This window comes from Homo sapiens, chromosome 7, assembly GCF_000001405.40.
Source record: "Homo sapiens chromosome 7, GRCh38.p14 Primary Assembly".
In the NCBI taxonomy this organism is placed as follows: domain Eukaryota; kingdom Metazoa; phylum Chordata; class Mammalia; order Primates; family Hominidae; genus Homo; species Homo sapiens.
This window is the reverse complement of record NC_000007.14, coordinates 45659155-45678297: the sequence shown is the minus strand read 5'-3', so window position 1 is coordinate 45678297 and position 19143 is coordinate 45659155. Positions and strand designations below refer to the sequence as shown.

The window sequence follows — 19143 nt, the reverse complement described above, 5'->3', positions numbered from 1 at the left end:
GTGAGTTCCTCACCTCGTTGATAGAAATACTCACTGTGGGAATATTAGAAGGTAGACAAGGCCAAATAAGGCAGCCAGGATGAGGGTGAGGACAACGGCGCTGGTGAAATACTCGTCCTGAAGCTGGTGGTACTGTGTAAGAGAGAAGTCAATCCATCAGGGCTGAGGGCTTCCTCCAGCCAGGCAGCGCCTTCGCAAGCAGCACCAGGGAAGCCGAAAACCAGAGTTGCTTACCTTTTGCTCCCGTTCGACATGTTTGTACTTCAGGGTAAAGAAGTTCAGGTCTGCCATCTCCAGCTCTGTCTGGCGGGCTTCTAAGAGGCGGCTGATGTACCTGTTGACGCGAGTGCCCGGGGTGGTGTAGACAACGTTGGTAGAAAAAGATGAGCGGTTTCTGAGTTTTTCCGAGGCTGTTCTTAATGCCCTCCGCTGGAGCCATCATGGAAATAAAGGAGTATCATCAAATTCTCCACTTATTGAAGAAAAGCACCTGTACTCTCCCTCCAGCCAGATCCGCTGCAGGGTGGGGTCGGGTTTGGGAATCTGACATTTAATAATCATGACTCTGCCCTGCTGGTGGTGAGATGGCAGGTGAGTCATCTCAGCAGCCAGTGTTGGGGTTCCCACACCTGTAATGGCGGTTTTATGGCCCCTGAGTGATGGCATGGCAGCAAGGATTAGGTGATTAAACACGTTTGCAGTGGGGAGAACAGCATCCCAGTAAGAGCAGGTTCCTAAACTCATAAAACCCCAACACATGCAGAAAGAGATTCCCCAGAGTTACAAGAGCAGGAGTCCAACCCCCTCCTTCTAAGAGAGAGAAACGGTGGCAAACGGAGTGGCTTCACCAGTCTCTCACTCTGGCCAGGGCTGATGGGAACAGAGAGTGAGCCTCTCCTCCACAGCTTCCATATGTCACATGAGGGATACGAGAAAGCACCCATTTGCCAAAAGGAAAATAGAGTCTAATTTAAAACCACTTGCCATGAACTCACTATCAGTGCTTCATAAACAGAACCTCTGGTACTTAATATACTTGAGAAGAAAATAAGAATATTAAAAGAGGCTAGCCATGCGGTTCCAGAAAAGATGAAATGAACACACTTGTTTTTATTCCTACTGAGTGGTAAAAGCACTGACAATACATGTAAAATAAGCACACAGACTGTGAAAGGTGGAAAGAAGAGGGTGATCGCAGGGACCTTGCAACTCAAAGGAAAACAGTGTCGGGTGGATGGTGTCCCTTGAGGTTTCTTTCTGCCTTATTTATCCCAGACTAGAAACAAGAGAAACCAGCAGCCAAAAAATGCCACTGGATACAGATCAACTTTTTTAAAGCCCCTACAAAAAAGCCTGTTGTTTCTAGCCAAAGAAAAAAAAAGGGGCAACCTAGCAAAACAAAACTTTTAGACAATAACCACCCTATTGTAGCCAAAGACCATAAAAAAAAAAAAAAAAAATCTGTGGCCCCAGCTCCACCCAGGCCAGCAAAGACCATGTGGGGAGCCTCGACTTTGATCTTTATTAGGCTGTGAGGAGGCACACCCAAGGCCCCACTGACATAGTGTCAGAAAAACCTGAACAGGGAGTGGAGATGCTCATCTCCACTGAGTGGTAATGAGCTCCCACTTGCATTGTCAGTGGATGCTGAACAAGGATGCAGAATGTCCATATTCTACTCAACAGTAACAAGGTGCCAGGCATCACCTTGGTGCCAAATGCCAGGCTGTCATGGAGGATAAGTGGGAAACCCGGAATTCCACCCACACTGCCCCAATGCTGTAAAGTCTGAAGAGACTTGCTAAAACAAAAAATTTCAGTAGGATCCAGAGTATCACAACATAATACCCAAATGTCTAGGACATAAAAAAAAAGAAACCACTCATAATATCAAGCCTTAAAAAATGTCAACTTGAGAAAGATAATCAACAGATACTAACTTCAAGATGATAGAGTTGTTAAAATTATCTGACAAGAATTTTAAAGCAGTCATTATAAAAATGCTTCAATAAGTAATTATGAACACACCTGAAACAAATTATAGCAAGTCTCAGAAAAAAGGAAAGTATAAGAAAGAACAGATAAAAATTACAGACCTGAAAAATACAATAATCAAAATTTAAAACCTAATGGATGAGCTGAACTGCAGACTGAAGTGCACACAGTAAAGAATTCCTGACCTAGAAGACAGAGTCACAGAAATTATCCAATCTGAACAATGAAAAGAAAACAGACTTAAAAAAAAAAAACAAAACAGAGCCTTTGGAACTGTGGAACTAAAATGGAAAATTTAACATTCATTCATGTCATCAGAGTCCCGAAAGGAAGAAAAAGGGTGTAAGACTGGACAAATATTAGAAGAAATAATAGCAGAAAATGTCCCAAGTTTGGCAAAAGATATAAACGTACAGATTGAAGTAAGTTAGCAAATCTCAAACAGGGCAAACTCAAAGAAACAGATGCCAACACACATCACAATCAAACTTCCAAGAACAAAAGACAAAGGAAAATTCTTGAAAGCAGCATGAGAAAACTAATATCTGATTTTTTGGGGGAGGAAAAAAAGTAACTAGAATGATAGCATCATTTCTTCAGAAACCATGGAAGCCAGAAAAAAGTGGGAAAACATTCATCAAGTGCTTAAGAACTGTCAACCCAGAATTCAACATCTAGCAAAATTATACTTCAGAAATGAAAAAAAAATTATAATATTTTTAGATAAAGGAAAGTTGAGAGTTTATAATCAACCTAAAGAAGAGCAAAAAGAAATTCTTGAAACAAAAAAGAAAATAGTAAAAGAAGGAATGTTGGAACATCACAAAGACAAATAACAGAAAGGATAAAAATTGTGGCTAAATGCAATATACTTTCCTCCTTCTCTTGAATTTTCTACATGTTTTCTGGTTGAACCAAAGATTATAAATTTGTCTGATATATATAGAGGAAATATTTATGACATTTATGTTATAAATGGGGAAGGATAAAGGGACTGAAAAAGAGGTAAAGTTTCTACACTAAACTTGTTAAAATGTTGACATCAGTAGGCTGTAATGTTATGTAAAAATAATACATATCTAGATAAACTACAAAAAATTGTATGCAACAAGATATACTATATATAAATCAAAATGGAATTCTAAAAATTGCTCACATAAACCACAGCAACATAGGAAAAAAAACAGACAAAAAGAGAAGGAACAAACAGAAAAACAAAAAATAAGTTAAATAGCAGACTTATCAATAACATATCAATAATTGCATTAAGTGTAGATATTCTAAATATACCAATTAAAAGAGGCTGTAATAAATGATTTAACAAATATCATCCAAATATATGCTGTTTAAAGAAACTTACTTCAAAATATAGCAATATATGTAAGTTGAAATTAATAGAATAGAAATTATACACCATGCAAACTTTAATCTAAAGAAAGTAGGAGTGGCTGTAGTGATAACAGAAAAAGTAGATATCAGAGCAAAAAAATTTACCAGGGATAGAGAGAGACATTACAAAATGATTAAAGAGTCAATGTAAAAGGAAGACATAGAAATCCTAAATGTGTATGCATAAAACAATAGAAATTTCAATCACACAAAGCCAAAACTGATAGAATTTAAGGAGAAACAGTGGGGCGCTGTGGCTCACGCCTGTAATCCCAGCACTTTGGGAGGCCAAGTGGGGTGGATCACGAAGTCAGGAGTTCAAGACCAGCCTGGCCAAAATGCTGAAACCCCGTCTCCACTAAAAATACAAAAATTAGCAGGGCGTGGTGGCGGGTGCCTGTAATCCCAGCTACTCGAGAGGGTGAGGCAGAGAATTGCTCGAACCCAGGAGGCAGAGGTTGCAGTGAGCTGAGATCATACCACTGCACTCCATCCTGGGTGATAGAGATTCCGTCTCAAAAAAAAGAAAAGAGAATTTAAGGAGAAATAAACAAATTCTCAATTATAGTTGGAGATGTCAACATCTCCCTTGAACAATCAGACATAAAATAAGCTAAGACATCATCAAACAAGATCTAATTGACATTTATAAAATACTCCATGCAACAATGGCAGAATACATTCTTTTCAGGTACCCAAGAGTATGTATTAAGAGACCTTGGCCATAAAACAAAACTCAACAAATTTAAAATAACTGAAATCATACACATTATGTACTCTCAAACCAAAACAGAATCAAACTAAAACTAGTAACAGTTAGATAACAGGAAAATTTCCAAGCATTTCTAAATTAGCCACAGGTCAAAGAGGAAGTCTCAAGGAAAAAAAAAAAAAACAACAAAAACATATATATATATATATATATATATATATATATATATATATATATGCTCATCTGAATGAACATATGCCAAAATCTACGGGATGCAGCTAAAGCAGTGCTGAAAGGTAGTTAATAGTACTAAATACTTACATAAGAAAAAAGAAAAAGTCTCAAATCAATAATCTAATTGCCATGTTAACAAACTAGAAAAAGAAATGCAAAATAGACTCAAAGCTAACAGTAGAAAGGAAATAATAAAGAGAAGAATTCAATAAAAAGAAAACAAAAAAAATAGAGAAAATCAATGAAACCAAAAGTTGGTTCTTTGAAAATTATCAATCAAGTTGGCAAATCACTGCAAGCCTGAAAAATAAGAGTGAAAAGACACTAACAAATTCAGAAATAAAATGAAATTTTACTACATACTCTGCAGGCATCAAAAGGTTAATGAAGGAATATTATAAACAACTCTACACACATAAATTTGACAACTTAGATCAAATGAACTATTCTTTGAAACACAACTACCACAACTCATCCAACATAAAGGGTAAATTGAAAAATCCTATAATTTCTAAAGAAATTGACTTTATAATTTAAAAATTCCTGAAAAAGTAAACTCCATGCCCAGATGGTTTCACTGACAAATTCTAGCAAATGTTTAAAGAATTAACACCAGTTTTAACCAATCTCTTCCAGAAAATAGAAGAGGAAGCAACACTTCCCAAGTCACTTTACAAAGTCAGTATTACCCTGATACCAACACCAGACGAAGATAGTACAAAACAGAAAACTACAGGCCAATATCCCTCATGGATGTAGATATAAAAAAAATCTAACAAAATATTAGCAAATAAAATTCAGTAATATATAATTAGAATTATATAGAATAAACAATTCTAGGGATGAAAGGCTGGTCAAATATTTGAACATCAATGTAACCCACCAGATGAACTGGTTAAAGAGGAAAGTCAATTGATACAGAAAAACCATTTGACAAAATTCAATACCCATTCATGATAAAAATTATCAGAAAACTAGGAATTGAGGGGGAACTTCTCCAACTTGATTAAGAACATCTACAAAATGCCTATAGCTAACATCACACTTAATCGTGAAAGACTGAACACGTTCCTTCTATGCTCTGGATAAAATACAAGATGTTGGCTCTCACCACTTCCATGCAGCATAGTGCTAAAAACCCCAGCCAGTGCAATAAGGCAAGAAAAGGAAGTAAAAGGCATACAGATGGGAAAGAAAGAAAATTGTCTCTAGTTTCAGACGACATGATGATCTACATGGAAAATCTCAAGGAATATATATATATTAAAAAAATCCTAGAACAAATTAGTGAGTTCCACAAGGTGACAGTATAAAAGATAAACGTAAAAAATAATGGTATTTCTTTATATTAGTGATGAAAAAAGGAAGACCAATATTAAAATGTAGTATGATTTATAATCACTGAGAAAAATAAAATACAAGATGTAAATCTAACAAAACACAGCGAGGTCTCGTATGCTGAACACCTCACAATGCTGATGTAAGGAATCGAAGAAAATCTAAATAAATGAAGAGGCATACCACGTTCATGCAAACAGAAAGGAAAAGGGACTAGAATAGCCCACTTTTCTTTAAAACAATAAAGTAAGAAGAATCACTCTACCTGATTTTAAGACTTATACAACTGCATTAATCAAGACAGTATGGTGTTGGCAGACAGACAGACAAATAGATAAATGGAACAGAATAGATAACCCAGAAATAGCCTCACATAAGTATGGCCAACTGACTTTTGACAAAAGTTCAAAAGCAATTCAATGGAGGAAGGATAGCTTATCAACAAATGGTGCTGGAGAAACCAGATATCCATAAGCAAAAATAAAATCTAAAAAATAACTGAAACTTACACCTTATTAAAAAATGAACTCAAAATGGATCATAAACTATCAAATGTAAAACTATAAGATTCTTAGAGTAAAATGTATGTCAAAATTTGGGGACTTGGGCTATGTAAAAGGTTTTTAGACATGACATCAAAAACATGAATCATAAAAGAGAAAAATCAATAAATTGGGTATCTTCAAAACTAAAAACATCTGTTCTGTGAAACAGAACAGAAGACCCTGTTGAGATGATGAAAAGACAAGCTATGGACTGGGAGGAAATAATTGCAAACCACACCTCTAACAAAAGAATCGTTTCTAGAATATACCATGAACTCTCAAAAATGAACAGCACAAAAAAATCAAATAATCCAATTAGAAAGCAGACAAAAGACATGAAGAGACAGTTCACCAAAGGGCAAGAGAACATATGGATAAAAAATGAGCACATGAAAAGATGTTCAACATCCTTAGCCATCAGTGAAATGCCAAAATAAAATCATAGTGAAGTATCACTACATACTTATTAGAACAGCTACATTTAAGAGAGAGAGAGAGAGAACACCAAATGCTGGTGAGGATGGAGATGAACTGGATCCTTCATACACTGGGGATGGGGATATAAAATAGACACTCTGGAAAACAGTTCGGCAGTTTATGAAAAAAATCTAAACATGACCCATCAATCACACATCTGGGCATCTATCCTAGATGAGTTAACATGGATGTGCGCACAAAATTTCGCACGACAATGTTTATGGCAGCTTTATTTGTAAAAGTTAAATACTGGAAACAGAAATGTCCTTCAACAAGCGAATGACTAAACAAACAGTGGTCTATCCATACCATGAAGGACTATTTAGCAATGAAAGGAAGGCACTATTAACACACACAACTTGGATGGATCCCAGGGGCATAATGCTGGATGAAGAAAAACCCAATTTCAGAGATCACATACTGTATGATACCATTTAGAGGGATGATTCCAGGTAAAAACTTCCATACTCAAGGGGAACCTCTGTCCTGAAGCTGGAGATAATGAGGAAACCATGCTCAGAGTCCTTGCCAGCGCAAATCTCTGCTGCGCCCAGCAGCTTTTCCATTGCCAATTCAGGCTACAACCCCAAACAAGCAGACCTTGACTTGAGTTCCCTGCCGGTCACTGGTTATCTACCTGAGGTTGGGCTTGTTCAGAAGACCAGTGGTCAGTGCCAACTGCTCCCTGGTCTGACAGTTCTGAGAGTTCACGTGAAGGGTTGATGGACACAGGTCCACCTTGAGGTCAGGGCTGATGGACACATGTCCAGCCTTAAGTCGGGGCAGACGAACATGGGTCCACCCTCCAGTTGGGGCAGATCCACACAAGTCTACCCTCAGGTCAGGGACTGAAGGACACAGGTTCACCCTTCAACATCAAGTCAGGGACTGAGGGACACAGATCCTCCCTGTGGTCAGGGCTGATGGGCACAGGTCCACCCTCAGGTGAGAAAATGATGGACACAGGTCCACCCTGGATCAGGGAATGATGGACACAGGTCCACTCTCAGGTCACGGAATGATGGACACGAGTTCTCCTTCAGGTCAGGGACTGAGGCATACAGATCCTCCCTGTGGTCGGGGCTGATGAACACAGGTCCATTTTCCGGTTGGTGCTAATGGACATGGATCCTCCCTCAAGTCAGGAGTAATAGACATTGGTCCACCCTCAGGTCAGCCACACCTCCAAACCCTGTCACCACCCAGCATCCTCTGCCTGTCAGCTCACCTGCTGTGTCCTGGGTTACTGACTGTCCTCCACAGTCATAAATCACAGTCCTGGGCTGTGACGGGCATCCACGAGAGTGGCCAACACATTGAGAGGAAGGTAGCCGTCCTTCAGTGAGTAGATGATACACACATCTCTGAAAATGTACCAGGAACAGCCCAAGGCCACAGGGATGGACAGGAAGGTGAAGCTCCTACAATGTCAAAAGAACCCTGGAGGATGCAGTGATATCACTGACCATATTAACAGTCAGAGGGGGAACCACCAGGCTAAGCATCTTAATACCTACTCAAGAGTATTTTCTAAAATTCAACATCTGCTTATTAAAAGAAAAAATTCAAAAGCTAACTCCAATGGATCACTTTCTTGAAATAATTAGCCATATACTATTACTTCTAACCCAAAGCATCACAATTAGTGGTAAAACCCTATTTATTAAAGCCAGAACAAAAAAGAATGCCCACCCTATTGCAATCATTTAACATAGGATGAAAAGGAGAAAGCAAAATTATCACCATTTGAAAAACATACTATTGTAGATCAAAAAAATGCAACAGAATTAAGTAAAACATTATGGCAATCAGTTTCAAAAAGTGTGGACCAAACAAGTTGAAATTTTATCTTCATTAAATTCAGATAGATATGGTAGAAGTTATATTTTAAAAAAATTTCCAGCCATGTTTCAACAAAATGCCCAGGAGATGGGGTAGGAGAGCCCCTAGGTGGATCAGAAACAGAGAAGAAAATACGCAGAACTCTCCACTCCAAATCAACAGAATATACATTCTTCTCAGCACCACACCACACCTATTCCAAAATTGACCACATAGTTGGAAGTAAAGCACTCCTCAGCAAATGTAAAAGAACTGAAATTATAACAAACTGTCTCTCAGACCACAGTGCAATCAAACTAGAACTCAGGATTAAGAAACTCACTTAAAACCACTCAACTACATGGAAACTGAACAACCTGCTCCTGAATGACTACTGGGTACATAATGAAATGAAGGCAGAAATAAAGATGTTCTTTGAAACCAACGAGAACAAAGATACAACATACCAGAATCTCTGGGACACATTTAAAGCAGTGTGTAGAGGGAAATTTATAGCACTAAATGTCCACAAGAGAAAGCAGGAAAGATCTAAAATTGACACCCTAACATCACAATTAAAAGAACTAGAGAAGCAAGAGCAAACACATTCAAAAGCTAGCGGAAGCCAAGAAATAACTAAGATCAGAGCAGAACTGAAAGAGATAGAGACACAAAAACCCTTCAAAAAATCAATGAATCCAGGAGCTGTTTTTTTGAAAAGATCAACAAAATTGATAGACCGCTAGCAAGACTAATAAAGAAGAAAAGAGAGAAGAATCAAATAGATGCAATATAAAATGATAAAGAGGATATCACCACCGATCCCACAGAAATACAAACTACCATCACAGAATACTATAAACACTTCTACGCAAATAAACTAGAAAATCTAGAAGAAATGGATAAATTCCTAGACACATACACCCTCCCAAGACTAAACCAGGAAGAAGTTGAATCTCTGAATAGACAAATAACAGGCTCTGAAATTGAGGCAATAATTAATAGCTTACCAACCAAAAAAAGTCCAGGACTAGACGGATTCACAACCGAATTCTACCAGAGGTACAAGGAGGAGCTGCTACCATTCCTTCTGAAAGTATTCCAATCAATAGAAAAAGAGAGAATCCTCCCTAACTCATTTTATGAGGCCAGCATCATCCTGATACCAAAGCCTGGCAAAGACACAACAAAAAAAAGAGAATTTTAGACCAATATCCCTGATAAACATTGAAGCAAAAATCCTCAGTAAAATACTGGCAAACCGAATCCAGCAGCACATCAAAAAGCTTATCCACCATGATCAAGTGGGCTTCATCCCTGGGATGCAAGGCTGGTTCAACATACACAAATCAATAAACGTAATCCAGCATATAAACAGAACCAACGACAAAAACTGCATGATTATCTCAATAGATGCAGAAAAGGCCTTTGACAAAATTCAACAGCACTTCATGCTAAAAACTCTCAATAAATTAGGTATTGATGGGATGTATCTCAAAATAGTAAGAGCTATTTATGACAAACCCACAGCCAATATCATACTGAATGGGCAAAAACTGGAAGTGTTCCCTTTGAAAACTGGCACAAGACAGGGATGCCCTCTCTCACCACTCCTATTCAACATAGTGTTGGAAGTTCTGGCCAGGGCAATCAGGCAGGAGAAGGAAATAAAGGGTATTCAATTAGGCAAAGAGGAAGTCAAATTGTCCCTGTTTGCAGATGACATGATTCTATATCTAGAAAACCCCATCATCTCAGCCCAAAATCTCCTTAAGCTGATAAGCAACTTCAGCAAAGTCTCAGGATACAAAATCAATGTGCAAAAATCACAAGCATTCTTATACACCAATAACAGACAAACAGAGCTAAATCATGAGTGAACTCCCATTCACAATTGCTTCAAAGAGAATAAAATACCTAGGAATCCAACTTACAAGGGATGTGAAGGACCTCTTCAAGGAGAACTACAAATCACTGCTCAACGAAATAAAAGAGGATACAAACAAATGGAAGAACATTCCATGCTCACGGATAGGAAGAATTAATATCATGAAAATGGCCATACTGCCCAAGGTAATTTATAGATTCAATGCCATCCCCATCAAGCTACCAATGACTTTCTTCACAGAATTGGAAAAAAACTACTTTAAAGTTCATATGGAACCAAAAAAGAGCCCACATCGCCAAGTCAATCCTAAGCCAAAAGAACAAAGCTGGAGGCATCATGCCACCTGACTTCAAACTATACTACAAGGCTACAGTAACCAAAACAGCATGGTACTGGTACCAAAACAGAGTTATAGACCAATGGAACACAACAGAGCCCTCAGAAATAATGCCACACATCTACAACTATCAGATCATTGACAAACCTGACAAAAACAAGAAATGGGGAAAGGATTCCCTATTTAATAAATGGTACTGGGAAAACTGGCTAGCCATATGTAGAAAGCTGAAACTGGACCCCTTCCTTACGCCTTATACAAAAATTAATTCAGGATGGATTAAAGACTTCAATGTTAGACCTAAAACCATAAAAACCTTAGAAGAAAACCTAGGCAATACCATTCAGGACATAGGCATGGGCAAGGACTTCATGTCTAAAACACCAAAAGCAATGGCAACACAAGCCAAAATTGACAAATGGGATCTAATTAAACTAAAGAGCTTCTGCACAGCAAAAGAAACTACCAGTAGAGTGAACAGGCAACCTACAGAATGGGAGAAAATTTTTGCAATCTACTCATCTGACAAAGGGCTAATATCCAGAATCTACAAAGAACTCAAATAAATTTACAAGAAAAAATCAAACAACCCCAACAAAAAGTGGGCGAAGGATATGAACAGACACTTCTCAAAAGAAGACATTTATGCAGCCAAAAAACACATGAAAAAATGCTCATCATCACTGGCCATCAGAGAAATGCAAATCAAAACCACAATGAGATACCATCTCACACCACTTAGAATGGCGATCATTAAAAAGTCAGGAAACAACAGGTGCTGGAGAGGATGTGGAGAAATAGGAACACTTTTACACTGTTGGTGGGACTGTAAACTGGTTCAACCATTGTGGAAGACAGTGTGGCGATTCCTCAGGGATCTAGAACTAGAAATACCATTTGACCCAGCCATCCCATTACTGGGTATATACCCAAAGGGGTATAAATCATGCTGCTATAAAGACAAATGCACACGTATGTTTATTGCGGCACTATTCACAATAGCAAAGACTTGGAACCAACCCAAATGTCCAACAATGACAGACTGTATTAAGAAAATGTGGTACATATACACCATGGAATACCATAAAAAATGATGAATTCATATCCTTTGTAGGGACATGGATGAAGCTGGAAACCATCATTCTGAGCAAACTATCGCAAGGACAAAAAACCAAACACCGCATGTTCTCACTTACATGTGGGAATTGAATAATGAGAACACTTGGACACAGGAAGGGGAACATCACACCCCAGGGCCTGTTGTGGTGTGGGGGGAGTGGGGAGGGATAGCATTAGGAGATATACCTAATGTAAATGACGAGTTAATGGGTGCAGCACACCAACATGGCACATGTATACATATGTAACTAACCTGCACATTGTTCACATGTACCCTAAAACTTAAAGTATAATTTAAAAAAAAGAGAGAGAAAAGAAAAGACACTGCATTGAGCATACTGGTGATTTTTTAAACCATGCTAAAACACAGAGCTGACTCCATTCAGGAAACCAAGGCTCAGGTGCATCAGTGGTGCGAGCGAGCACAGCAAGTGCCTGAGAGAGAACAATTTGGCAACAGCTATCCAAAATTAAAACAGACACACCATTTAACCCAGCAATTCCACTACAAAGAAATACCCCTAGGCTATCCTCGTAAGATTTACTAAGACATTTGTGAAAAAAGATGTTCATGACACCAGTAGACATGAGATCAACCTCTAGAAATAAAGTCCCCAGCAACCAACAAGCCAGTGGTAAAGTCACATCCCTCCCTCCCTCCTGCAGTGGGAGGCCATCCAGCCACTTAGAAATGACTCCAAGATTTCTAAAGTCTGTCACCTAGTGAAAAGGTGTGGAAGACAAAATGATAAACTTCTATTTGCATTAACCTCTGGTGCACACCCAAATTGATTTTCTAGAAGGAAATACAAAATGGCAAACATTTTGGAAGACTTAATTTTTGTATCATGTGTGGATGTTGCTTTTATTTTTTAATTCAAGCTTAAATATTTAAGTGTGAAGAGAAGAACAAAAGAAGCGCTCAATAAAAAGAGAGAGAGACTGAATTGGGAGGCTTCTGGGTGTACCTATTAGAGGAGACAACTGTGCTGCCAGGTATTAGGAAACTGGAATAGAGACGTGTTCCACGGTGACTCAGGCAGGCAATGTCATGTTCCCCACCTGGTGGGCCCAGTGGGCGATGAGCGTAACTACCCTAACAGGCTGCACACACTCAGGCAGACACTTGACTCTCTGGATTCCATTACACAAAACCATCAGAGAAGTAAACGTATTTTCATGACCAAAAGCTCTGTCCACGATTTGCTTCATTTAAATATAACAGAAATAACCTAAATATCAATGGAGGTTGATTAAGTAAATGGTTTCTTAGGCTGCAAATCTATATAATGATTTTTAAAAATCATATTTTTGCAGCCATAAAAAAGAATGAGTTCATGTCCTTTGCAGGGACATGGATGAAGCTGGAAACCATCATCCTCAGCAAACTAACACAGGAACAGAAAACCAAACACCGCATGTTCTCACTCATAAGTGGAAATTGAACAATGAGAATACATGGATACAGGGAGGGGAACATCACACACAGAGGCCTGTCAGCGGGTGGGAGGAAAGGGAAGAGAGAGCATTAGGACAAATACCTAATGCATGCGGGACTTAAAACCTAGATGACGGGTTGATGGGTACAGCAAACCACCATGGAACATGTATACCTATGTAACAAACCTGCACGTTCTGCACATGTATCCCAGAACTTAAAGTAAAATAAGGACCAAAAAATCATATTTTTGGCAAGTATTTAATAATGGAAGGAAATGTTTATGATATATTGGCAATTAAAAAAAAAAACAAGCAACCAAACTGCCTGTGTACCATCCAGTCAAGTTTATTAAAAAAATACAGACACACAAACTTAAGAAACTGGAAGGAACAAAATGTTCATGATAGCTTTTTTGTGAGATGGTAGGATTCCAGATAAATGCTTTTCATTTTCTCCCTTGTGCATCTTTGTGTTCTCCATATTTTCCATAATCAATTATGTTTACGATCAGGAGAGAGTGCTGAGAGAAGAACAGAGCTGGCGTGAATGCCCTGGGGGATAAGGGCTGATGGCAGGAGCTCATCCTTGCAGCACTGGTGACAGTGGCTGTTGGGCAGGACCTGAAGCTACGTGCACAGTCGTCCCCGTTGCAGGGTGGGAGACCAAAACCCCAGGAGGACATCCAGGCCACTCAGTGAGGGATGGATCTGAACCTACAGGAGAGGCATCAGATGTGTGGGGTCCGACACAGCTTCTCTGCTTGACCAAATTTTAGCCAGGCTCTGAAACTTCTCCTAGGCCCAACGGTGCACTTCCTTGTAAAATCCAGTTTTAGCAGGAACGCCCCACCCTCAATATCCCATCCCCCACCTATCTGATCAGGTTCCTCACCCTCCACCAGCCCCCAGGGGAGGCCTGATCACCTAGGCCTGTCTTCAGCAAGAATCGTGCTAGGTCAGTTGGCCACAATCCCCTTACCCCTATGTTTCCTCTTAGAAATTTTCCATCCACTGACCCTCACTCCCCTCCTTCTGTTAGGAGCTGAGTCTAACCTCTCCCCGCAACAGCACGACTCCATTCCACTGCCGTGGTTCCTATGCTATAGCTATGGTCCCACATACAGAGCATCTTACTATGTTTGAGCAAGTGTCACTGAATAATTTTCTTTTTCTTTTTTTTTTTTGAGACACCGTCTCACTCTGCCATCCAGGCTGGACTACAGTGGCACAATCTCGGCTCACTGCAACCTCCACCTCCCGGGTTAAAGCGATTCTCCTGCCTCAGCCTCCAGAGTAGCTGGGACTACAGGCATGTGCCACCACGCCCGGCTAATTTTTGTATTTCTAGTACAGATGGGGTTTCATCATGTTGGTCAGGCTGGTCTTGAACTCCTGACCTCGTGATCCGCCTGCCTTGGCCTCCCAAAGTGCTGGGATTAGAGGCATGAGCCCACCGATCCAGCCAAATAATTTTAACAGCTCCCGCCCGCCTGGCTGCGACTGGGCCCTTGTGCAACACCGCCACCTAGAGGCCAGTCCCCTCTGCCCTGGCTCCCACACCCCTGAATGAGCACAGCTGGGGAACAGGGACCCTGAGGAAGAGGACAGTTTGAGGTGGTCCCAGTCTGTCCAAGAGCCTTTGTAAGACATTCCCCTGAACTCTGGACACGTTTGCTCACAAAGCTGCACCAAGGTCACAGACGGCACATGCACTCTCCCACCTGACGCCTAACTCCAGCTCCAAGGCTGGGCTCCATCAAACGCTGAGGCTGGCAGGCCTGGGCTGAGTCTGGAGGTGCGGGTAGCAGAGCGGCAGAGAAGAAAGTGGTAACAGGCCTGGACGCCTGCAGAGGGTGACTGCTGCAGGTTGGGGCTGCTCTGTGCACACAGACTGCACCTGTTCCTCTTGTCCTAGGCACACGCCCTACTGGGACCACCACAGACATCTCTGCAGAGACTACCTGCCTGCCATGCCCTGTCACCACCCTTTGATGGCTCCTGCAGTGGAGACGCTATTCTCCTCCCCATTTCTGACTTGCTTTCACTCATCACAAGGCAGCAGCAGTATGGAGCCCTGTCTGGGGGGCAGATGGTGATGAAGGGGTGACACTGGAACTGCAAAAGCCCAGGCTTCCAGGCTTCCGGGCTCGCCCTGCCCACAGCACCTGACGCAAAGCTGGGAAGCCTGGGGTCCGGGGGTGGGGAATCAGGCACTGCGGGCGAGGGGTCAGAGGTGGAGACTGCTGAGAAGACTGTTTTGCTGTTTTGCTCGTCTGGACGTCCTGGCTGGGCTGCTAACCGAGAGTAACAGAGGAAGGCCATCTGCAGGCAGCGAGCTCCTGCATAGAGAGGGAGCCAGGAAGCCGCACAGGCACAGACAGATGAGGCACAGGCTTGGACGCTGGGGGCAAGGATGACAGGTGGGTAGGGCCAGCCTTAGTGTGAAATCCACCTAAGGAGGGAGGGCCTAGCACATCTGTCCAGAATGAATACCCTCAGAGGCCATTTAGACAGCAGGTGGGGAATTTTAGCTTGAATTTATGGATAAACAGGAATAAATACATGGATTATGGACAAATACAAAGAATGCCAAGGAGTAAAAAAGTACACTATAATGACTTTTGCAGGAAATAAAAAGTAGCTCAGCTCTGAGCAGCATTTACAAGATTATCCACATGTGAACAGGGAATTCTGATCTAGCCAAATGGCACGGGGGCCATATTGGGAGGGCAGGACAGAGATCAGTCCCTGGCAGCTCCAGCATGGCAGGCTCCCTGGCTGCTCCTACCTTGTCATCGTCCTCGCAGGTCATGACATTGGAGAAGGGGATCTCGGCCTTGAACATTTTCCGGCAGTGCATGAGCTGCACCAGCAGGTAGCAGACAGTCTTGAACTTCATCCTTTTGGCCGGTTTTATATCTGAGAGAATCAGGCCTGGAAATATCTGTCCAAACACACAAGGGGCAAGGAGAAATGCTGTGAATGAGACACATTGTGCCTCTCGGACTGGGAATGCCATCCTGACAAACACAGCCACCCCAGGGCACTGGGATTCATTTGCTCAGCGCCTACTTCAAGCCAGGCATTGGGGAACGTGCCCAGAATAGAGCAGCAAACAAAACCATATTGGGAGGGCCACGTCCAAAACGTTCCATTCTCAATCCGCACCAAAGGCCTCTAAAAGCCTACGTGATGCTCGGAATCCTGAAGCAAAGTGCGGGGGAAGGCTGGAGGCCCTGGTCAGGAAAGACAACCAGGGCTTGGAATGAAGGTCTTTGTTACCCCGTTCAGTTTCCAGTATGTCCCCTTCTACAGACAAGGAAAGAAATCGCATGGGGAGGATGGGGAGGGCTGGGCAGTGCACCCAGCTGAGGCTCAGAACCTCAATTCCCTCACAGTCCTCATGTTCTGGGTGAAATTCCATCTGTAAAATCGGATGAACATCACCCACTCACCCGCTGGGGCCTTCTCAAGGTCAAATGAGGTGATAGGAAAGTGGGACCCCATGAATGCTCCACTGTCATCGTTCCTGCTGGCCGGCCTGTCTTCTGAGTGAGTCCAAAGTTCCTGCACCCCCACAGCAGCTCTGACCCCATCTCCTCTCCAGGAATGCGGTACCCCTTCCTTGGCCTCGCTGCCTACCTCTCAACTTCACTTTCTCTGGCCCCTACAGGTAGGTACAAATCTCCACTCTTCAAAACAACAAAATCCCCTTCTTCTGAGCATTCTCACTCTTCCCCTCCCGCTATTCAAACTTCTCTAAAGTGGGGCTGTATACTGTACCTATCTTGTCACCCCCTTTCACCCTCAAACTACAGGACTGGATACTATTGTCTATGTCAATGTGACAGAGCCCAGGGGCCTGCATCCACTGGGGTGCACAATGACTAGCTCCCACAAATTGTTTCTTTAAGAAGAGCCAACACAGTAATGGCTCTGCACCCTCACCTGAGGCATCGACCCTCCCCTGAGCCTGAACCCCTCACCTGAGCCCTGAATCCCTCACCTGAGCCATGAACCCCTCACCTAAGCCCTGAACATCTCACCTGAGCCATGAACCCCTGACCTGAGCCCTACACCCTCAATTGAGCCCTGCATCCTCACGAGCCCTGAACACCTCACCTGAGCCCTGAACCCCTCACCTGAGCCCTGAACCCTCACCTAAGCCCTGCACCTCACCTGAGCCCTGAATCCCTCACCTGAGCCCTGCACCCTCACCTGAGCCCTGCACCCTCACCTGAGCCCTGAACCCCTCACCTGAGCCCTGAACACCTCACCTGTCCCCTGAACACCTCACTTGAGCCTGAACCCCTCACCTGAGTCCTGCACCCTCACCTGAGCCTGACCCCTCACATGGACCCTGAAAGTGACTTGATCACTCTTGATCATGTCCAGACCACTTTTCTCTGGGCAGGGTGACCTCAAGTGCCCCATGTAAGACGGTAACAGCCCACCTCTGTGCCCAGCACCCCTCAGTTCACAGAGCTCCCCATCCCTGGCCCCCCTGCGGGGTTTCATGCCCACTTTGCAGGGGAGGCAGTGAAGGCCCAGGAAGGGGAAGGAGGACACAGAACGGCCTGCCCCGAGGTGATCCCAGATCTCTGACTAGGGGTTCTGGCTCCCTTACCTAGACCCCTCCCCACACCAGTAAGAGACAAGGCTCAGGACGGTGTCAGTGGGGACAACTCTCCCCATCTTAGCAAGTTCACAGCCCAGAGAAGCAGTGCTTGGAGAGGAAGCAGGAGGAGTCACATCTGTAAAGCTCTGCACAGGCCAAGAAGCTAAGGATCAACCAAATGAGGGGGGCTCTGGTGCCTACCTTTCGGCGATGGGATGGCACAATAAAAAAGGTTTCGATGTTATGAGTTTTCAAGAAACTGTTCCTCTCATGTCCGTAACCCGGTTCTACCTCGTAGTCCCCATTCAAGCACGCTAGGGTCGTCTTTGTGATATGAACCTTCCTACAAAAGGAGGAGGCAGAGGCCAGATGAGTGGGGAACCACTGCTGTCAGAGTCTGCAGGGCCTTACCAGAGGGGAAGGGGCACAGACAGAGGCTTCCCCACACCAGGGCAGGCTCCACGGGGAGTATTCATGCTCCCATGCAAGTCCGTCCATGCCAGGAGGGAGGGCCCAGGCAGATACAGTAGGGCCATCAGGAACCATGCCCAGCAGGACAGCAGGGATGGCTGAGGTGGGGGACACAGGGCCAGAGGGAGAGCAGAGGAACCAAGAGAGAGAGAGAAAGAATACATCAGGACTCATTAGGGAAGTTGAGGAAAAAATGGGCAGTGATGTGAAGAAGAGAAAGAGGAGAGGAGACATGGGAGTCCCTCCCCAGCCATGGTCTGGTCTGGTCAGCACAAGGAGTGGGCAGACCCCACTGGGTAGCAAGAAGTCAGGGGTGGCCACGGTGTTCACACATGAGGTGGGGTGGGAAGCAGGGTGGTAAGAAACGCTGTGGAGCCCAGGCATTCACGCCTCCCCAACCCAATCTTCTGGTGAGGACAGGAAAATCCCCCACAGTTGGCATCGTCTCAGCAGAAAACGAACACCCACAGTCTCTGCTCCTTAGCAGGGCACGCCTGAGCTCGCAGGTTTATGGGGCGAGAAGCAAACTCCCCACCTTCCAAAACCATTCCCTGCAAACCCAGTTCTTCACTTCACCGCACAACCTTCTGAACTCCTCGCAGGGGAAAAGCTTGGGATTCATAATTAAACTCTAAGGCTGGCTGAGGACGAAAGCAGGGAGCCTGGCTCAGATAGGAGGCAGTTGAAGGCAGAGCTGCCATGCTCACTGGGATCCTGAGAGGGTGAGGACAGGGCTCAGGAGATCACGAGGCCTTTCCC

At 43.0% G+C, this 19143-nt stretch overlaps 1 protein-coding gene across 4 annotated transcripts in view; it reads right to left on the bottom strand.

Annotated features, from left to right (window-relative positions):
* Positions 1-19143, bottom strand: part of ADCY1 (adenylate cyclase 1) — a 148977-nt gene that overhangs the window by 44819 nt on the left and 85015 nt on the right. For 2 of the 4 annotated variants that reach the window (NM_021116.4, XM_005249584.4), the window contains exons 7-10: positions 18115-18256; positions 16084-16239; positions 235-429; positions 35-132 (exon numbers count right to left, since the gene is read on the bottom strand). In NM_021116.4, the coding sequence (NP_066939.1) occupies positions 35-132; positions 235-429; positions 16084-16239; positions 18115-18256 (591 nt within the window). Of the gene's footprint in view, positions 1-34; positions 133-234; positions 430-13617; positions 14010-16083; positions 16240-18114; positions 18257-19143 lie in introns of those variants that run through there. The other 2 variants (NM_001281768.2, XM_005249585.3) reach the window with 1 other exon arrangement.